At 37.0% G+C, this 23,700-nt stretch overlaps 1 protein-coding gene across 29 annotated transcripts in view; it reads left to right on the forward strand.

Moving 5' to 3' along the window:
- RBFOX1 (RNA binding fox-1 homolog 1) overlaps positions 1-23,700 on the forward strand; it is a 2,473,620-nt gene that overhangs the window by 1,534,736 nt on the left and 915,184 nt on the right. The window lies entirely within an intron of this gene.

Below are 23,700 nucleotides of genomic sequence, written 5' to 3' on the forward strand. Positions count from 1 at the left end.
AACAACCCAATTACCTTTTGTCTCTGCTACCAAGCATGAATTCTGATAGTCATTGTCTTACTTCTCTATGTTCAGAGAATTATATTTAAGGGAAGAAGCAGCTAATGATAATTTACTGATTGTTACAAACAATCTACATGTCAGCTATATAGAGTCATCTATAGGAATTAATTGTATGAGCTATATATGTCAGGAATATATAGAGTATTCTTGACAGTAAATTAGCATTAGCATTAAAACGATTAGTATTATAATTTTATAATACTAATTATAACTATTAGTTAATTAGTTCAACTGTTGAGTTGAACTTTCTGCAATGGTGGGAGTGTTTTATACCTGAGCTTTCCAATATAGTAGCCATGAGCCGTATGGGCCTACTGAGCATTTGAAATGTGATTAGTGCAACTGAGGGGCTTTTAAAATAATTTTAGTTAATATAAACTTAACCCCATTGAGTAGTGGCTACCATATTGGACAGTATACGTCTATAGGCCCTAATCTCATCTCCTCTTTAAAAAGAATGAATATGTATCTTTATTAATAATCTGTGTTCATATCTTATATAACATACCTAAAAATGTAGACAAGGCAGGGCGCAGTGGCTCACGCCTGTAATCCCAGCACTTTGGGAGGCCAGGTCTGGCGGATCACGAGGTCAGGAGATCCAGACCATCCTGGCGAACATGGTGAAACCCCGTCTCTACTAAAAGTACAAAAAAAAAAAAAAAAAGTTAGCCTGGTGTGGTTCGGACGCCTGTAGTCCCAGCTACTCGGGAGGCAGGAGAAAGGCGTGAAACCGGGAGGCCGAGCTTGCAGTGAGCTGAGATCGCGCCACCGCACTCCAGCCTGGGCGATACAGCGAGACTCTGTCTCAAAAAAAAAAAAAAAAAAAAAAAGTAGACAAAAAGCCTACAAACAGACACACCCAACTGTTAAGACCTCTCAGGTTGGGATTAGAAAGGTATGAAGAAAGGATTTTAACATCTTGTCTTGCCTAATCCCAAAAAGAAAAAAAAATAGGTGATAAGATTAAAAATGAATCAAATAAATCAGATGCAACCAATTATATCATGGAACCAGTTATGTCAGTCCATCTCTTTGAATTAAAATTAAAGGAAAAAAGATGGAGGGTTCTGACAGTTATCTCTCTAATCGAGACAGCCCTCTCCCTCTCTCTGTCCCCTTACAGAGAAAGTGAATTTGGGAGCTTCGGTCAAACATCCCTTGTCTTTCGTCAAATTAGTGCCTAATGTCATCATTTTGGTGGCTTTCAAAGGTGTGAACCAGCAAACGGGTGACAGTGAGAGGAAGGAACAAGCATGTGAACAAATGCGTGAACCACAGTCAGTCTCTGAATGGAAATCCATGTGTCTTATGAAAATCAGTTATTGTTGAAAGCCATTTGCAAAGCTTCCACGATCCTCGCTTGGCTGGTGCACGGCTGTGAGTGCTTCTTTCCAAGTCTCCTGTGGGTGACGGGGAATGGCTAACCAGGGATTGTGTTCACAGGCATATCGATTCCAAGTCTGATCACAGCCACAAATTTCTTTCCCAGGTTAGTAAGAAGAAATCAACACTTTACTTTCTTGGATCATATGTTTTTAAACATTAGTACTGAGGAAATAAAGAAAGGGAGAGAGGAAGAAAAAAGAAGTACAAGAAAGAATACACTGGGCTGGGCGTGGTGGCTCATGCCTGTAATCCCAGCACTTTGGGAGGCCAGTGCAGACAGATCACTAGGTCGGGAGATCGAGACCATCCTGGCTAACACGGTGAAACCCAGTCTCTACTAAAAATACAAAAAATTAGCCGGGCGTGGTGGCGGGTGCCTGTAGTCCCAGCTACTCGGGGGGCTGAGGCAGGAGAATGGTGTGAACCCAGGAGGGAGAGCTTGCAGTGAGCCGAGGTCATGCCACTGCACTCCAGCCTGGGTGACAGAGTGAGACTCCACCTCGGAAAAAAACAAAAAACAAAAAACAAACAAACAAACAAAAAAACATCAAGGAGAAGCAACACAGTGCAATTCTTTAAAGTGCATACAATTAAAACACATAGAAGAGGAACCTTGGCTAGAATTACAGAGCTTGATCAAGTCTCATCCATGGTTGACACTGTTTGTTGGATGATTTGGACATTTGGAGCCTCTCTATGTGGGGAGAGTTTTCTTTATCCCTTTCAAATCGGTATGCCATCTCTACATACCTGAATTATTATAAAGGTAACAAGGTTATAAGCTCCCCCATGCCTGCCAGGATGCACTGCTTTGCTGTGACTGAGCCACACTAGGTGCTAAACTTTTCTGCACTAATGCAATCAAATTAGAAGTTAAATCTGATACTGTAACAAGTTACCACCTGGGAACAGAAATGCTTTGCTGTTTTATTTTTTCTTCGTAGCATTGTGAAATGAACATGGCATGTGGCACATTTTAATTACAGCAAATATTAATTTTTAATGGGAAATGTACACCTGGCTTTGTATTGTTCATAAATTATCTGAGAGGTTGAAATTTATTTACGTGATTTTGATGCAGTTGTAATTAAAGTGAAGAAACTAATAGCCTTCTGTAATTGAAGGCACATTAATCTGAAAGCTACCTGAGGGCAGGGATTCTGTGTTAACCGTGTTGTATACTCAATTTAGTAAAATACGAGTCTTGGGATTAGTGGTCTTGTATGCGATGTGCTACACATTTTCCAGATATTTCTAGGGTATTTTCTGAGCTTTAGAAAAGTGATAATATGATCTAGTACTGTAGGTAATTATGTGCTAAGAAAAGAGGATTCTATCACATTATCTGGCATTGCTTTTTTAGTTTTGTAATGGAGTAATTGATTAGTACTACTGCATTTTAGCAAGGTATTTTGCTCCTATACCTAGTGGATGATGTTTAAGTTAACTCTATTTGTGTGTCCCTGAGAAAGAGAACCGAGGCAGGCGCTCGGGGAATGGAACAGGGACAAAGAAACCAACCAAATAACACTAGGTATCAGTTTTCAGCTGCATGTAAACTCAACTTATTTTTTAATGATTTTATTAGGAAGCTTTCTACATTCTATTTTGTAATGCATTTCCCTGAGGGAACTTTAGACCTTGCAGGCCTGTTTGCAATTCCTGTCAGATTAGGGGGGAAAGAAAGAGAACAGAATGATGGAAATTTCACACGTTATTCAGTGTTTTAAAAATCCAGTTTCTTAGCCTGACAGTTTCTTAAATCTGTAGACCTTGATGTTTTAATCTTATGCATTCTGATGGAGCTTGATATTCATAACTGGTGGGCTTGGTAAATTTTTAATCAGGAAGTTGAATATGATGAGAAAACACAAGGGGAGGTTTGTGTTTTGCACCTTGTCATCAAGCTTTCCAGTTTCATTTTCACTTTTTGCACTAAGAGTATTCCTCAGAGGTGTCAGAGCTGCCCAAAGCTGACTTCCATCCATATTGAAATGACTTTTTCTGAGCTTTCCAAAATTCCAATTTCAGTGCAGGTGGTAATATCTGAATGTGAGCAGCAGAATAAATAGCAGTTTAAAACTCATATAAATATACATTTATGCTCCATGTGTGAACTCATAAGGTGTGGGATAAATCTTGTCATTTCAACATAAACGGAATAACAAATAGATTGAAAGTGGGATGCACTGTTGCGAATACATGATCTGGATGCGCAGTGCGATTAAACAGTGATGGCTTCATGAGAATCGAATTTCAAAGATCACACAATCGATTAAAACAATTCAGTCTCCCTGGTCATTTTTGTCAGTAAATTAAAACATTAATTTCATCCCAAGAATGTTTTTCAGTGTTTTTTATTGTACAAAGTAACAAACACATGCAAAAGTAGAGAATAGTAACATGATTCCTCATGTACCCATCCCCAGATTCGATAATTAAAACTCATAGCCAATCATGTTTAATCTATATCCCCACTTGTTTTCTCCACATTCCTGAATTGTTTTAAAGCCAAGGCCAGACATCACACATTTTATCCATAAATGTTTCAGTATGTATCTCTAAATATAATTACACCCAATCCTTCAACATTAACATTGATTCCCTAAGATGATTAATATCTGATCGCTGTTCAGATTTTCCCAGTTATCTTACATATTTATAAAGTTTCCTTGAACTGAAATCCAAACGAGGACTATAGAATGCAATTAGTTAATATGGCTAGAGTTCCTTAGTCTATAAAGAGTAAAGAACTTTCCATTCATATTTTACTCTCTTTTTTCTTAGAATTCTTAAATTAAAGAAACTAGATTGTCTTCCTGAGTCTTTTGTGAAAAATATGATTGTGAATTTTCTTGTTTATCGCACACAATAAATCCACCTTATAAATTATTGATTGAACCAATAAAACCTATCAAAACAATTTAATTGAATACACATACACCACACACTCTAGTTTTTTTTTTATTTTTAATTTTTATGGTTATGGAAGAGTTGTACATATTTATGGGGACATTTTTATAAAAGCATACAATGTGTAATGATCAAATCAAGGTAATTGAAGTAGCCTAACTTTAAATATTTATCATTTTGTTGTTTTGCAAACATTCCAAAACTACTACTCTAGTTATTTTGAAATATACAATGCATTATTGTTAACTATAGTTGTCCTATTGTGCTAGTGAATACTGGATCTTATGTCTTTTATCTAATTGTATTTTTGTACCTATGAATTTACCTACTTCTAACTCCCCCTTGCTCTCAACTCCCCTTCCTTGCATTTGGTAAACATTATTCTACTCTGTATCTCCATGAGATCAATTTTTTTAGCTCCCGCATTTGTATGAGCACATGCAATATTTGTCTTTCTGTGCCTGGCTTATTTTAGTTGGCATCATGTCCTCCAGTTGTGTCTATGCTGTTTGAAATGACAGGATGTCATGCTTTTTTGTGGTTGAATAATATTCCATTGTATGTATGTACCACATTTTTTCATTCGGTTCATACATTGGTGGACACTCAGGTTGATTTCATAACTTGGCTGTTGTGAAGAGTACTACAATAAACATGGCAGTGCACATATCTCTTCTATACACTAACTTTCTTTCATTTGAATATATACCCAACAGTGAGACTGCTAAATTATGTTAGTGTTAGTTTTAGTTTTTTGAAGAACCTCCATACTATTCTCCAGAGTGGCTGTACTAACTTACGTTCCCACCAATAGTATACAAGGGTTCCCTCTTCTCCATATCCTTACCAGCATTCATTATTGCCTATCTTTATTTATTTATATATATATTTATATATATATTTATATATTTTTATATATTTTTATATATACTTTTATATATTTATATATATATTTATATATATTTTTATATATACTTTTATATATTTATATATATATTTATATATATTTTTATATATTTATATATATATTTATATATATTTATATATTTATATATATTTATATATATTTATATATATTTATATATATTTATATATTTATATATATTTATATATATTTATATATATTTATATATTTATATATTTATATATATTTATATATTTATATATTTATATATTTATATATATTTATATATATTTATATATTTATATATATTTATATATATTTACATATTTATATATATTTATATATATTTACATATTTATATATATTTATATATTTTTATATATTTATATATATTTATATATATATTTATATATTTATATATATTTATATATATATTTATATATTTTTATATATTTATATATATATTTATATATTTTTATATATTTATATATATTTATATATATATTTATATATATTTACATATATATTTATATATATATTTATACATATATATATTTATACATATATATATTTATACATATATATATTTATTCATATTTATATATATTTATACATATTTATATACATATTTATATACATATTTATAGATATATTTATACATATTATATATATTTTTATATATATTTATATATATTTATATATATTTATAGATATATTTATATATACATTTTTATATATATTTATATACATTTTTATATATATTTATATACATTTTTATATATTTATATATACATTTATATATATTTATATATACATTTACATATATATTTACATATTTATATATATTTATATATATATTTATATATATATTTCTTTTTTGTTTTTTGTTTTTTAGTTGTTGGTTTCTTTTCTTTCTTTTATATATGTATATATCTATATTGCCTGTTTTTTCAGAGAGCTATTTTAACTGGGGTGAGATATTTCATTACAATTTTGATTTGCATTTCTCTAATGATTAGTGACGTTGAGCATTTTTCCGCATACCTTTTGGTCATTTGTATGTCTTCTTGAGAATTGTCTATTCAGATGTTTGCTCATTTTTATTTGGATTATTTGGGTTGGGGTTTTGTACCAAGTTGTTTGAGCTCCTCACATGTTCTGGCAGTTATTCTCTTGTCAGGTGGGTAGTTGGCAAATGTTTTCTTCCATTTTGTAGGTTGTCTTATCACTTGTTTGTGGTTGCCTTTGCTGTGCAGACACTTTTTAGCTTGATGTGATCCCATTTGACCATTTTTGCTTTGGTTACCTGTGCATTTGGTGGCTTACTCAAAAAGTATTTACCCACACCCATGTCTGGAAGCATTTCCACAGTGTTTTCTTGTAATAGCTTCATTGGTCCAGGTCTTACATTAAATTCTTTAATCCGTTTTGATTTGATTTTTGTAGATGGTGAGGAATAGGGACATAGTGTTTGGTCTTCATTATGTTGATATGATATGTCACATTTATTGATTTGTCTTTGTTGAACCATCCTTTTATCGCAGGAATGATTCCCATTTGATCATGATGAATGATCTTTTTAATATGTTGAATTTGATTCGGTAGTATTTTGTTGAGGATTTTTGCATTCATGTTCATCAGATATATTAGTCTGAAGTTTTCTTTTTTCGTTGTGTATTTGTCTAGTTTTGGCATTAGGATAATCCTGATCCTGTAGAATGAGTTTGGAAGTATTGTCTACTCCTTGATTTTTTAGAATAGTTTGAATAGAATTGGTATTAAGTCTTCCTTAAATATTTGGTAGAATTCAACAGTGAAGCCATCAAGTCCTGGCCTTTTCTCTGGTGAGAATCTTTTTATTACTTCTTTTATAGCATTACTTATTGATTTATCCATGTTTACTATTATTTCATGTTTCAATCTTTGTAGTTTTTTATGTCCAGGAATTTATCCATTTCTTCCAGATTTTCCAAATCGTTGGCCTATAGTTGATAAAAATACTCTCTAATTTACCTTTGAATTTCTGTGGTATCTGTTTTAATATTTTCTTAGCTCTGATTTCATATATTTGGACATTCTCTCTTTTTTCTTAGCGTGGCTAAAGGTTTGTTGATTTCGTTTTTATTTTCCAAAAACAAGTTTTTATTTTGTATTTTCTCTCAATTTCATTTATTTCTGCTCTGATCTTTAGTGTTTCTTTTCTTTGACTAGTTTTGGGTTTAGCCTGCTCTTACTTTTCTAGTTCTTTAAGATGCAGTTTTAGGTTTTTTGTTGCTGCTGTTGTTGTTATTGTTGTTTTTTATACGGAGCCTTGCTCTGTCACTGGGCTGGAGTGCAGTGGTATGTTCTTGGCTCACTGCAACCTCCGCCTCCTGGGTTCACGTGATTCTCCTGCCTCAGCCTCCCGAGTAGCTGGGACTACGGGCATGCACCACCACACCCAGCTAATTGTTGTATTTTCAGTAGATACAGGGTTTCGCCATGTTGGCCAGGGTGATCTCTGTCTCTTGACCTCGTGGTCTGCCCACCTCGGGCTCCCAAAGTGTTTTGTTTTCCTTTTTTGATACAGGCATTTATTGTTATAAACTACCATCTTAGTACTGCTTTTGCTGTATCCCATAGGTTTCAGTATGCTGTGTTTCTACTAAATTTCCTTCTTAAATTATTTAATTCATCCAGTAGTTATTCAGGAGCATGTTATTTAATTTCCATGTATTTATATAGTTTCCAGAGTTCCTCTTATTGATCTCTTCATGTTTTCTATTTTTTCATGGTTCAATCTTGGTAGGAATTTTATGTCCCGGGATTTTTATGTCCAATAAATGCTTATTGATTTCTAGTTTCATTCCATTGTGGTCAGAAAAGATACCTGCTATGATTTGGATTTTTCTGAATTTCTGAGACTTGTGTTTCGGCCTAACATATGGTCTACCCTGGAGAATATTTTATGTGCCCATGAGAAGAATGTGTATTATTCAGCTATCGAATGAAATGTTTTGTAAATGTCTATTGATCAATTTGTTCTGTAGCGCACATTAAGTCAGATGTGTCTTTGTTAATTTTCTTTCTAGGTTTTTTGTCCAATGCTGAAAGTGGTATGTTAACTTAGCATTCCCAACTATCATTGTGCTGGGGTCTGTTTCTCTCTTTATCTCTAATAATATTTGCTTTATATATCTGAGTGATCCAGCATTAGGTTTATATATATTTACAGTTCTTATATCCTGTTGCTGAGTTGACTTCTTTATCATTATATAATGACCTTCTTTGTCTCTTTTTACAGATTTTGTCTTGAAATATATTTTATCTGGTATAAGTACAGCTCTTTATGTTCTTTTTTGGTTTTCATTTGCATGGCATATCTTTTTCTGTTCTTTCATTTTCAGTCTGTGTGTTTTCGTAGGTAAAAATGAGTTCCTTATAGGCAGCATATAGTTGGGTCTTTTTAAAAAAAAATTTATTCAGCTAGTCTGCCTTTTATTTGGAGAATGAAGTCCGTTTACACTCATTGTTATTATTGATAGGTGAGGACTTACTACCGCCATTTAGTTGTTTTTTGTTGTTGTTGTCATTTTGTTAGTTCTCTCTTCCTTTTTTTTTTTCTTCTTGTCTTCCTTTCTATATAAGCAATTTTCTGGTAATGTTTTAATTTCTGTCTTTTAATTTTTTTGTGTCCCTGTTAAAGGTTTTTGCTTTGTAGTTACCATGAAGCTTGCAAAAAAAAAAAAAAATCTTATAACCAATTATTTTAAATTGATTAAAGCTTAACTCTGGTCACAAAGAAAAAACATTAAAAAGGAGAAAACTAAATTCTACGCTTTATCTCCATCTCCTGCAGTCTGACTTTTTGCTATCTCTGTCTTTTTTACTGTCTTTCAACAAATTGTTGTAGTTATTATTATTTTTCATAGGTTTGTCTTTTAGTCTTCGTACTAAAGATATGAGGGCTTTACATACAATTATAATATTAGAATATTCTGTATTTATTTGTGTGCTTGCTTTTACCAAGGAGCTTTAGACCTTCAGGTAATTTCTTGCTGCACATTTGTACCCCTGTCTTTCATATTGAAGAACTCCCTTCAGCATTCCTTATAAGACAGATCTAGTGTTGATGAATTACCTCAGGTTTTGTTTGTCTGAGAAAGTCTTTACTTCTCCACGTTTGAAGCATAACTATGCTGAATATAATGTTCTAGCTTTGAAAGTCTTTTTGTTCAGCACTTTAAATATGTCATCCCACTCCCTCATGGCCTATAAGGTTTCTGCTGAGAAGTCTGCTGACAAACATTTGGACTTCTTTATATTTTCTTTGCTTATTTTCTCCTGCTACTCTTAGGGTCCTCTTTTTGTCCTTAACCTTTGAGAATTTGATTATTGTATACCTCTGGGTTTCATCTGCTTGGTGTTGCTTGACTTTCTTGTACCTGGATATTCACTGGGTTTGAAAAGTTGTCTGTTATTTTTTTGAATAAACTTTCTATCCCAATCTCTTTCTCTACTTCTTCTTCAAGGCCAGTGACTCTTAGATTTGCCGTTTTTAGGTTATTTTCTAAATATTACAGGCATCTTTTGTTCTTTTTTAGCTTCTTTTTTTCTCTACAGACTGTATTTTCAAATAGCCTCTCTTTGAGCTCACTGATTCTTTCTTCTGCTTCACCAATTTTGCTGTTGAGACACTCTGATGCATTTTTGTGTTGTTGATTGCATTCTTCAGCTCTGCAATTTCTGTTTGATTTTTTTGTTATTATAATCTCTTTGCTAGATTTATCTGATAGAATTCCAAATTCCTCTTCTATGTTATCTCCAAGTTTGTTGAGTTTTCTCAAGACAACCATTTTGAATTGCCTGTCTGAGAGGTCACATATCTCTGTATCTCTAGGATTGATCACTGATACTTTATTTAGTCCATTTGGTGAGGTCGTGTTTTCCTAGATGTTCTCCTTGCATGAGGGCATTTGTTAATGTCTGATTTTTTTTTTTTATAAAGGTGCTTTATTGTGTGGATAGTTGTTCAATTTGGTGTTCCTGTGGTCGGGGGTTGTGGGGAAGTAAATCCCTGGAATTTTCTATTTAGCCATCTTGTTCCACCTCATATATTTCATTGTTTTAAGAAAAATGAGTAGAAGTTGAAAGAGTTGTATAAGAGCTAAGTGAAGGTCGGCTGGAGTTATTGTCACCAAGCACTCTTCTAAGTTGCTTGAAAAATAGCACAAGCAGTGTTTCTTAACTGCTCATATAGGGGATCTTTCTTCCTTGGGTAAACTCATGGTTGGCATTGACATTGATTTGTTGCACTTCTGAGTGAAAAAAAATAGGCATTTAACATAAAAGAGATTACTCTTAGGAAATACTGGATGTGACTTTAGAAAGTGGTCATGGTTCCTTCCAAAAATATTCATTATTAAATATAGTGTTATATTTCATTTCTGAACAAAGAGATCTACGAGATCTGGTCTGCTCTGGAGAAAAAAAATGACAAAGGAGAGAATTTGAGGGAATCTCCCAGTCCGTTCGTAACTAACATAAGAGTTTATGCAAAACAAGAATTATTCTAAACACCATGGATGGTGGGCCATAAGCCATCTCATTTATCCAGACATCTCTGTGGTTCAGCAAATTTCCCAGTTGCCCTGTGTATAGAGCTTTTAGGGAGTGGAGTTATTGTTGCTAAGGAGAGGTCACTGTTTTTAGGCTGGGCAAAACTGCATTGATCCTTAGGAAGAATCTAGACTAGACAATTGGCAATAAAAGCCATTTGCATCTGGGCAACACCTTTCCATCCTACCTTCCCCAAAGCACACTCAGCAGTAGTTCCTCTTACCACTTAAATAAAAACTTCAACATGTGGGGACAAGTTTTCCATTAAATAAGCTATTTTTCCTTTGTTTTCAACTGCACAATAACCATCAGAAACACTTACCTAATATTTATTTCCACGTTCCATGTACCATGTTCCATGTGAGCATGTTACAGCCACTGTCCAGTTTAATATCATATGAATATGAAATACCAATTCCACTATTGTTATCATCATTTTCCAGATGAGGATACCAAACAAATGCAGGAAACAATGAGAGCATGATGAGAACTTACTTTAGAATACAGAGCTAGAATTAGACTCAAAGTCCATTAGACTCTAAAACTGATGCTGCTCCTCAGGCTCCGCTTAGCATTTACAAAAAATGGCACTGTGACTGAGGAACCTTGTGTACATGCATGTGACTTCCCAGGTGGCACTTACCAACAGACCATCCTTCCAAATAGCTGCTCCTTAAACACCCCATCTTGAGCTTAGAGACACACACAAATGGTAGTGTCTGCACTGGGGAGGATGTACCTGGGGCAGAAGCCTGTTCAGGGCCTGGAGTGGGCTTTGTCACTTTGGCAAAAGTCTGCATGACTTTGGGTCCCCCTAAATGAATGGAGTTCGGGGGCCAGGCGAAGATTCCCATGACCCTGTTGACTCCTCATTCCTTGGGGAGGGGTATGTCAGAAGAGGGTCAGAACTGGACCCTCACAAGTATGGGCCTGGCCAGGAGACGGGGCTTTTTGGCTCTGAGATCTCTTAACCACTTGTTATAATTCTTCCCACATTACAAAGGCCCACAATGTACCCCCACAATGAGGAGAGTCCCTGTTGTCCCAGACAGCATTATTCTTCTTGTACCTTTGGGCTTCATGCATCATTTTTCAGGAGGTAGATCAAGTGGAAGAAACATTTTTACAGGGAAAAAGCAGAAAAATAACAACAAAGAGCTGTGTAGCCCCTTAAAAGACTGTAGCTGTGAACATTTCAGACAGAGTTCAGAGATCCTGGAAAGGAAACAGTAAGCCAAAAAACCTCTCCAAAAATTAATAATAAGGACAAAGCTGGTTCCCCTGATCCTTATGAAGGGGATGAGGAGAATGGATGGTGCTCTGTGCGCATTTAGAGGTCAAGTAGGTCAACAAAGTTCTGTTTTCCCTGAATGGGGACCCTAGCACTACGGTGCTCCCATCTAGCTCTTTCCTTAAACAGTTGGAAATGAGATACTTAAAGAAACTCCACCCAATGGAAGTGGACATGAGGTCACATCGAGGGTCATGGTCACAATTGACTAAAAGGGTAGGGAATTGATTTGAGGATAGCATATTTCAGACCAGAAGGAAGAGAATTGCTTAGCCGGCAGGCTTTTTTACTTTTAAAAAAAAAAAGGCTTATTGACTCTTAGGGACCTTATCTGAAAGTGTCATGACCATGTCTCCCTCTGCACAGGTCACCCATCTCACTAAAAACTTCCTGCTTTGGGGTTCAGGTTGGAATGTCAGAAATACATTAGTTGATTTGAATTTTGAATACGTGAAAAGAAAGCATCCCTCATAGATTGTACCTTCACCGAAATGCAATGATTTCCTGCCCCAATTGAGTGCTCTCCAAGAAACGTTGATGAAACATTTATCAGATGTGTGGAGTGAAGGTCGTATGTGGCACGCTTGGACAGAAATAAGCTGGATAAAGCAGGCAGCATTCTCTATGCAGTTCCCTAACTGATCGGCCCGTTCTAGGCAGCATAATCTTAAGAGCAAAAGCCAGGTTGGTCCTGCCATGTTCGTGTATTCATCAATAACAGCACATAAAGAAGTTCTTTCAACTTAGGATTTTATGCAGAAACGGTGAAATGATTAACATCAGAAATAGCAACAATGCCGTGTGATTTCCAAAATTATTTTATTTTTCTCCTGGTTATACAGTTAGAGTGTGAATTGGAGTCTCCCTGTGGTTAAGTTGAAGTTGTGTGACTGTATGCTGGGCAATAGAAATTGGGTGTAAACTGTATTAATTTGTGCCAATTCCAGATTTAGCCGTAAATCACCTGTGACACCCTTCACAGTCTCTGTTCTCCATCCACTGTGACCTTGGAGGCCAGGTTTTGAAGACACGTTATTACAAGATGAAAGAGATTGCATCCCTGAGTGATTCATGATCGTAGCATTCCATTGATTACTCTAAACCAAGCTGCAAATGAGCACAGAGCTTCTGCTGGCTTAATCCCCAAAACCTGGAGTTGTAAAGGACTTAGTCTTCCTCCATAATACAACTTAATCCACGTCTACTGAAATAGAAGTATATTTATATTCTATAAAGTTAACATAAGCGTAACTCGATACTATAGAGAGAAGTTTTAATATTAATAGCCAATCTGTCATTACTAAACAGCTGGTGAAAGGCCAATGAGGCCGGGCACGGTGGCTCATGTCTGTAATCCCAGCACTTTGGGAGTCCGAGGTGGGGGGACCGCTTGAGGTCAGGAGTTCGAGACCAGCCAGACCAACATGGTGAAACCCCATCTCTACTAAAAATACAAAATTTGGCAGGTGTGGTGGCGCATGCCTGTAATCCTAGCTACTGGGAAGGCTGAGGCAGGAGAACCGCTTGAACCTGGGAGGCGGATGTTGGAGTGAGCTGAGATCGTGCCAGTGCACTCCAGCCTGCAACAAAAGTGAAACTCCATCTAAAATAATAATAATAATAAAATAAGCCAATGAGGTCTGCTGCATCATACCTGTTCTGATTTGAATAGGATGTCCCTTTTCCAAAATTCCCCAGCATCTGCAGAGTATTTTATTCAGGTTCAACACAAGCTGGTGAGGCATGTAACTACCTTGTAACTAGTTTCATAATAATTATTATCGTCTCTCTGAAAATAGTCAGCCTGCTTTGGACACAGGTGCTGCACTGATTTTTTTTTTATTATTATTTATTTATTTTTTATTTTTTATTTTTTTGAGACAGAGTCTCTTGCTCTGTCGCCCACGCTGGAGTGCAGTGGCGTGATCTCGGCTCACTGCAAGCTCTGCCTTCTGGGTTCACGCCATTCTCCTGCCTCAGCCTCCCGAGTAGCTGGAACTACAGGTGCCTACGACCATGCCCAGCTGATTGTTTGTATTTTTAGTAGAGACGGGGTTTCACCGTGTTAGCCAGGATGGTCTCTATCTCCTGATCTCGTGATCCGCCCGCCTCGGCCTCCCAGAGTGCTGGGATTACAGGTGTGAGCGACCGTGCCCGGCCCCCCACTGATTTTTCTGAGGATGCCTCTGTGATGTCATACGATGTGCCAATTTCCATCTTATGTCCTAAAATGGCATCGCCTCACTTCTGAGAAATACTGTCACTCTGTAGCTAACTCTCTGCTCTAAGAACTCAGCGTCCCCAAGCCAACTTCCCGAGTTCCTCCTAGCATTCTCTATTCTTTCCGCCGCACAATGGGACATGTGGTTTTATTCCCTGAAAAGTCACTTCTGGATGGACCCAGTCTGAAGATGGTTCTCCTGCTGTATAGAAACATGGATGTCGCGAAATTGCCTATTAAACAGGGAAGCTATTAAACAGCCTCCCTGAATTTACCAGATTAGGATTTTAGTGAAAAATTACCGCCTGCCCACTGCTTGTGGGTAGAGTGTTCTTCAGAAGAAACATTAAGGTTTAAAGACTGTAAGTCATGAAATGCACGTGACAAGATGAATGTCATTGTATCATTTCCCAAGCCGCGATCCCCATGGTTCACCAGAACTTAAATACAGCAGTTGATATTTATAGCCAGTGGTATAAGACCTTGTCTTCAAGGTGGTGAGTTTCCGCTTTGAGATGTATTCCAGAATGTTACAATGTTAAGGGGTCCTAGGTGTTAATATCAATTTTATAATTTTTAAGACAAAGAAAGTGAAGCGTGTGGAAGGCGAGAGAAACACTAATGGTGTCAAGTTGGTATTTTAGAGAGAAGCAGTCATTTCATTCTCAGTTATTACCTATGCTGGTTGTGCAAATTTAAGCAAATTATTGCACTCAATAGGCGCCATTTTCTGTATCCATAGACAGTGGGGACTGTTTGACTCAGTGCTGTGCCCATCTTTGCATAAAAGGCATTTTTACATTTGTGTGCATTGGTGTGAGTTGTCTGTTTCTTTTGCCCATTTTCATCCTTTTCTTGTTTCATTTTCTCCATGTCTTCGAATTTTCACAGTAATTTACACAGAAGTCTGCATAGTAGTCTCTTAGTTTTTTAAAAAATCTTCTGTTTGAATGGTGATCCTCTTGTAATTTCTCATTTTCTGTCTTTGTGCTTTCTCCCACCTTTTTCTTCATTAAGTGGTTAGCTACTTTTTTTCTTATTTTCAAAAAATACCCTTAAAACATATGATTTGGTTTATTAATTAGATCTATAATTATTCTCTTCCCTAACTTATTGATTTCTGGTCTTCCGTAACTTACTGGTTTCTTACGTTTATGAATCCTTTCTTAAGCTTTTTTGTTTGTTTGAATTTACTGTTATTTTTCTAAATTTTTGAGATGGAGATTTAATAAACTTATTTATATTTTTCTATTATATTGAAATTTTTCATGCTGTGAATTTTCTTCTGGTTCTGATTTAAATGTGACTCTTAGATTCTGGATTTTATTTTATTCTATTATTATTATTATTATTATTATTATTATTTTATGACAGACTCTCGCTCTGTCAGCCAGGCTGGAATGCAGTGGTACAATTTTAGCTTAGTGCAACCTCTGCCTCCAGGGTTCCAGCCATTCTCCTGCCTCAGCTTACCGAGTAGCTGGTATTACAGGCACCCGCCACCATGCCTGGCTAATTTTTGTATTTTTAGTAGAGATGGGGTTTCACCATGTTTGCCTGGCTGGTCTTGAACTCCTGACCTCAGGTGATCTACCCACCTCGGCCTCCCAAAGTGCTGGGAATACAGGCGTGAGGCACTGGGCATGGCGCCCTCCATCGTTCTTTTTGTTTTGTTTGCATCATAGTTTGCAAAGTGTGGTTCTCCTTTCCTATTTAGCCTCTATTCCCCCAAACCATTGTTTTCCCAACACTGCCTTCTCCAATTCAGCACATGTTTTTAAGTCTCTTTACTGTAGTTAGGACTCTGAGCTTCCTGTTCTGTCTGTCATTATTTTCACTTGTATGGTGGATGTGATTTCAGTTCAGTCTTGGCTCTCCATCCCTCCTCTTCTTCTTCTCCTGTGTCTCTAGACCCTCCTTATTCTTGTCAAAAGCTCAGGATGGGAAATAGGAAAATAGTTCTGCTAGAGGGTGGTATTTATTTTCAAATCACAGTTATTTAACTTTATAGTTTTGTGTGTGTCACCAAATTATGGTAAAGGATGGTATTTGTGTGGTTTATTTTTTCCTGTTTATCTTTTTTTTTTTGCAATGGGGTCTGACTGTGTCACCCAGGTTGGAGTGCATTGGTATGATCTTGACTCACTGCGTCTTCTGGCTCTCAGGTTCAGGTAATCCTTCCACTTCAGCCTTCTGAGCAGATGGGACCACAGGCATGCCACCACAATACCTGACTAATTTTTGCATTTTTTGTAGGGATGGGGTTTTGCCATCTTGGCTAGGCTGATCTCAAACTCCTGACCTCAAGAGATCCTCCCGCCTCAGCCTCCCAAAGTGCTGGGGTTACTGGTGTGAGCCACCACACCCGGCCTGTTCTTGTCTATCTTTATAGAGTTGGCAGAAGATGCTAGGAGATTCCAGCTGCCATTGACTCAGCTGCATGGAAATTGCTTTTCTTTTTTAATACATTCATTATATATGATTAGTTATTGATTATTCATTTTAAAATACTTTGCATCAAATTATTTCTCTTTCCAGGCAGGACTGGCTGTCTAATAGGTGCAGCCCTGTGAAAATGAAAGTTCAGGGCCCCTTCCTAAAAAATTGTAAAGAACTTCAAGATGGCGAAAGTAGAGCATCACGCCAGTCACATTGGCTCACACCTGTAATCCCAGCACTTCGGGAGGCCGAGGTGGGTGGATCTCTTGAGGTCAGGAGTTCGAAACCAACCTGGCCAACATGGTGAAACCCCATCTCTACTAAAAATACAAAAATCAGCCAGGTGTAGTGGTGCGTGCTTGTAGTCCCAGCTACTCGGGAGGCTGAGGCAGGAGAATTGCTTGAACCTGGGAGGCAGAGGTTGCAGTGAGCAGAGATCGTGCCACACTGCACTGCAGCCTGGGGGAAAGAGTGAGAGTCTGTCTCAAAAAAAGCATCAAACCAGGTGCAGGACCCTTTGAGTGGCATCCCTGTGTGTACACAGTCATACCTCCAGGAAGGTGGTACTGGTTCAATACTTTTATATATTAAGTAACTCTTGTTTAATAACTTTATATGTGTTAAGTTATCTAACACAGAGAGAGAGAGAACTAGAGACTGGAACTTAGGAGAGCCGAATTCTATTCCCAAATGTGTCTTGGATTTATAGTCTGACTTTGAACTCTGGAGTTCTGTTTTCCTACTTGAAAAATGAAAGATTTTACCCTGAATTGCGTTTCACGAACTATCACATATATTACTGATAATACCTAAATACATTTTAATAGTGGTATTAATTATATCACATAAATAGAAAAAAATTGAAACACATAAACTATGCTTTTTCTGTATATTTTTTCTTAGCAGGTAGTTAAGGTGAGTAATAACAAAACAAGGTCAATTTTAAAGCACTATTGGAGAATTATAGGTGATATTTAGATTTTGTAAGAATTGTGAAGATTACATAAATACATCTAAAGTTTGGAAAACGTTGCTCAGGATGATCCCTAAGGACGCTTTCAAGTCCTTTCAGCATTTTAGGATTCTATAATTGCATATCTTTATGCAGAATTATGCATTTTTTGATTTAGCAAATAGGTAGATTTAAATATATAATTAAAGGTCAACCTGTTCATACCTTCCAGAAAGACTGGGGTGAGATGAATTCCATATTTTTGTGTCATCTACCACCACAAATTTTATTTCAATTTCATATAAAGGTTAAAAATTGAGATGTCCCCATGTACACTCAACGCCATGTAGTACTGTGCCTCCTACTACGAAGTCAGGGTTGCAAAAAGCCTTCATGTAACATTGCTGTCTATGGTAACTTGATGTCATGTCTTTTTCATTTCTGGTTTTCATGTCTGTTGTATCTGACATTCTAAAGAATTCAAAATAGATTGTTCTTGAAGGGGATATAAATAGAAGTGATGGGCCGGCATGGTGGCTCACGCCTGTAATCCCAGCACTCTGGGAGGCCGAGGCAGATGGATCATGACGTCAGGAGTTCAAGACCAGCCTGGACAAGATGGTGAAACCCTGTCTCTACTAAAAATACAAAAAATTAGCTGGGTGTGATGGCGGGCACCTGTAATCCAAGCTACTAGGGAGGCTGAGGCAGAGAATTGCTTGAACCCGTGAGGCAGAGGTTGCAGTGAGCTGAGACTGCATCACTGCACTGCAGGCTGGGCGACAGAGTGAGACTCCATCTGAAAAAAAAAAAAAAATAGAAGCGATAATGCTGTACATCTGTTAGCCACTTGGATGCTCTCTGCCAGATTGCACAAAAGTTCATGGTACGCCTGCTGTCACCAGATTTGGGTATTATTTTTTAAGAACCCAGAAATTAAAACAGATAATATGATCCTGTTGATCAAACAGTATAATTTTTAAAAAGGTACTGTTTGTTAATTTTAAGAACATTCCAGTAGACCGATTGGAGGAGAAATGTGGTCCCCCTGTTAGGCTTAGATTTTACATAAAATTTTTAAAGTGAAATTTGATTGGAGAAGTTGAGTTTTTTTTCCAAAATATGATTTTCTTCCATTGAGATTGATTGGACTCTATAGGTTCACTGCAGGAGGGTGGGACATTCTTACCTGTTCGTAATACAGAATTCTCTGAGAGAAATATCCCTTCATCTCAGTGTCTCAGTGGACATTGTTGGTATTCCTGAGTGTTTTGACATTTTGGCCATTTCCAAACATTTCTAGGTCTTTGTTATTGACCTGCCTACATTTCAATTCTTGGCCCTTCCCTCTGTTTTGAAATGACTCATTCTTCACAAGAGCAAACTGAAAGCTTTACTGTTAAGCAAAAAAAGAAATCTTGAGCCAAAGTATTATAACTTGCTCTGTAGGAAATGAAAACAGTGCATTGGCCATCTTTTCACCCTGTTGTTAGAGTATATTAAATTAAAATAACACAGCAAGAAACATTAGTTTCCATGATTCATTTTAGATTTATGTTGGTGTGTGGATTTGGTTGGTTGTTTCTTTGGTTAGTAGAAGGTGATGTATTAAAGTGGAGGTCTGGTATAGCTGATGGAAATGAGTTTTTTTAAAAAGGTTATGAAACATCTATCTCCCTCTTGAGCAGTAGTCCAGGGGAGTGATCACATACTGAGATGAAAACAAGAGGGTGGTAATACAGCAAGTGGTGTATGATTCAGTAACTCCACCGGATTGCTTTATTGGTTAGGTAATGAAGCACGCTAGGGAATTTCTATCAAACAGGAGTCAACATACTGCCCAATAACATCTGAAATGACTGAACTATAAGTTTAGGGAGCATGGGATGAGGTGTACTGTTAAATCGCTCCTATGCTGGAAAGTGTTCCCTAAGTTCTTCCCATCACTACCTGGAGAAGTTGATGCGGGATTACTGGGAGAAGGCTTGTGACTTTTAGGTCCTCTCAGAGCTCTTCACTTTGCTCCATGTTGTGTGTTGTTTTCTTGTTCGTGATTTTTTTTTTTTTTTTTTTTTACAATGAAGGCATTCCAATCGGGCTAATACAAACATGAGGCATTCTCAAACTACAGGAAATTGCTTTCCTTAACTACACTCTTTGAAAAAAAATGGGGTTTAATTACCTGCTGCTTTTCTATTGCTCAGATTCCCTTCAGGATGCAGGGGGAGGGATGGGAGAGAAGTTTCCTTTGTGATTTAATGTAATTATTCATAATGACTACATATGGTCATTTTATAAGTTCCTAATTATTTTAAGTGATTGGTGCATGGTCATTTGCATAGGCTGTTTAGCAGAAAACTCATTCAGTGACCTACATATAAATCATGGAATAGTTTCTAGGCATGTAAAGCGGGTGAGAGAAACCAAACCCTTCCCCCCATCACTTATGGTTCCAATGTATGCATCCCAGAATGTTTAATGTAAATCATAATAGCAGCTTGGATCCAGTATTCTTCATACAAATGTGTGGTTGATGTAGGGAAACATGTTTAATGTTTTCTTTCAGTAGCAGATGGTACATGGATTTTTATTTGATGCAGGCACTGCTTTCCAAGGTAATTGTCAAGGGCTTTTTTCCCCCTATGAAAAAAATGGAGGGAAGGCCTCTGGATCAACCCATTCATTTCACAGATGAGCAAACTGAGACCTCAAATATTGAGTAATTTTCCCTAAATCACCAGTTTTTAAACAGAGTGAGGGCTAAAATTCACATCTCCTGACAGTCAGCTTAATTCTCTTTTCGTCATACTGCACATTTTCTCTTGATAGTTGATGTGATATATGTCACTTTAAAAAAATGAGTTTCCATTTCTGGGTATATTTTATCTACTTTCCTCCTCAGAAAGCCAAGTTCTGTTGATTCATAGTAAGGACCAGATATTTCATAGTGCTAATTCCAAGCTGGGTATAATTTGTGACTTCTAGGTTACCCACTTGTGTCCACAAACCACCTAAATTTTTTAATTGTACACAGTCAAGTCACCTTGATAGAAGGGGCCTTGAGAGCTCATCTAATTCAGTGATTTTTCCAACACTGGTTTCAGGGCTGCTGATGTGCTATTGCATTTCACCCGAGTCCACAACAAAATAAGAAGAAAAAAAATCAGCTCTGGGGAGTTTTGTCCTCAAGTTAAATTAATTCCCATTTTTTTTAAGTTACGTCTTTATCAAATGTTGATGCTTAAAGAGAGACATTGTTGGCTGCGCACGTTGGCTCACGTCTGTAATCCCAGCACTTTGGGAGGCCGAGGTGGGTGAATCACGAGGTCACAAGTTCAAGACCAGCCTGGCCAATGTGGTGAAACCCTGTCTCTACTAAAAATACAAAAATTAGCCTGGCATGGTTGGGGGTGCCTGTAATCCCAGCTACTTGGGAGGCTGAGGCAGGAGAATCGCTTGAAACCAGAAGGCAGAGGTTGCAGTTAGCCAATGTTGCACCACTGCACTCTAGCCTGGGTGACAGAGTGAAACTCCATCTAAAAATAAAAAATGAAAAAAAAAAAAAGATAGTCATCGTTGCTTTCTTTTATTTTCATGAGAAAACAAGAAATGACACATGTATGTCAGCTTTCCACAAAATCACCCCCTGCCTTCCCTTTCCTTTTATGTTCTTATGTTTTTATTGTGTTTACCTGTCAGTGAATCCAAACATTGAGAAACATTGGGATAAGGGAATGTTATTTTCTAGGAAACCAAAGTTTTAAAATATCATGGTTACTGTATTAGTCCATTTTCATGCTGCTGACAAAGACATACCTGAGATTGGGCAATTTACAAAAGAAAGAGGTTTATTAGGCTTACATTTCCACGTGGCTGGGGAGGCCTCACAGTCATGGCGGAAGGTGAAAGGTATGTCTCACATGGTGGCGGACAAGAGAAGAGAGCTTGTGCAGGGAAACTCCCATTTTTTAAACCATCATATCTGAAGAGACTTATTCACTATGAAGAGAACAGTGAAGGAAAGACCCACCCCCGTAATTCAGTCAACTCTCACTGGGTTCCTCCCATGACACTTGGGAATTGTGGCAGTTACAATTCAAGACGACATGTGAGTGGGTACACAGCCAAACCATATCAGTTACTATAGTCATTTTTTGGCAAAACCAAGAAATAGCAAACTTGAGCCCGATTCCTTAAAACAGATAAAGCACCCTAACCCCCCACTGCCAAATCAACACTCTTCCACTATATCATTTTCCATTTTCAATAAATAACTCTTTCATCCACTGTAAATAACAGAATAGATGTTGTCTATGAATTCACTGCTTAATATTTCATTTATCTACTTCCTTCTACCCTTATTCATACCTATCCTAAACACTTTTCAAAGGAACTTTCTCTCTGTCTCTTGTTAAAAATTTTCTCTTGTAATTCTTAAATATGTACAGATGTTACCAATTGGTAAGAGATTCTTTTTTGATGAACTTTCTCTCCTGGGTACACATTTATGATCCTAAACGCCCCATGAAGATGGGCCTACATCTGCCTTCCAACTTCTTCTATGTCCCTCAGTCATAAATATCTACATTGTTTCTTTGATAAATTTTGGGAATGATAGAAGACAATAAGTTGCATGATGACTGCTTGTCTTGTTCTTTGTTAAATGTACCTATGTCTCCACCCCCTTTCTTCCACATCTCAAATTGGAAATCATTGAGTACTAGGAGAGAGAGGAAACAGGGCATTCCTTAGTGGGAAAACATAAGATGCCACGGGCAGTCTAAATGTCAAGATTTGGACTGCTGGTCTAAAAGGTTTCCACTCTCTGGGTTGCTCTAGTGAAGCAAATAAATAGAGTAACACATCGATCCTCCCACAGGTAGAAGGCTCTGCTGTTCGTTGTTTTACTACTCTGCAGATAGGCAGCAGCAGCAGCAGAATTTGTTAGCAAGGATCAGTCTGAGTCGCCTATGTTTACTAAGGAATCTGTCCAAATTGGCCGTGCCTTTGATGGATATTGTTATTCCCCCATAACGCTGTCCTTAGGATCCTGGTAAATCTCAGAAATCTCTATACAAAGTTACCGTTTCAGAGCAATGAATGTGGGCAAAGGTGAAAATCATTATGAAGCAGAGAGTGGAGATTATTAACAGGTGGTCGAAAGAGAGAGCGAGAGAAAGGGGGAGAGAGATAGAGTTGCTTTGTTGCGCAATAACATGAAGATAAAACAGTTAAACACATATATCCTGTTTCCCCCAGTACAAGCCTAATGTTGCTGATTTCAGGTTCCTGTGACATCATTCATTTACTGCACCTATTATATTACAATGGGGGTAAAAGAAGCACTTTCCATTTTCATGACAGAAGAAATGAAACAGCACCAGCATTAACAATAGCATACTGGGCACTGTATCTGTTCTCCTTGGTTCTGGAAAGGTCCTAGAGATTTATGAGTAAATTGGACCATTCCAACTATAGGCATTAAAGTTCTGGTGTTTCCAAACCACGTTGGCTCTTGGGGTCCATTATACCTGGTTTTATGATGTTTAAAAATCCAATATCATTTGGTAAGAAGTAACACAACATTATGTCTGCAATCATGAGCTCTAGAACCACTCGACTTGAGTTGCTATCCCATTTCTACTAACTGGTAGCTAGCTGACTTTTGGAAAGGTACTTAAACTTTCTGTGTCAGTATTTTCTTGTCTTTGAAATGGAGATGATGATGATGGTGATCACGGTGATGGTGATAGCGGTGATGGTGATGATGGGAATAGGGATGATGATGATGATGATGGTGATGATGAAGTTGATAGTGATAAAACCCAACACATAGGCATGTTAGAAAGACTATAAATATATGCCACACCCTTAAACAGCATCTAGCACGCATTTAATAAATAGGTCTCATTGTGATTAGCAGAACAAAT

The sequence above is a fragment of the Homo sapiens genome, chromosome 16 (assembly GCF_000001405.40).
Source record: "Homo sapiens chromosome 16, GRCh38.p14 Primary Assembly".
Taxonomy (NCBI): Eukaryota; Metazoa; Chordata; class Mammalia; order Primates; family Hominidae; genus Homo; species Homo sapiens.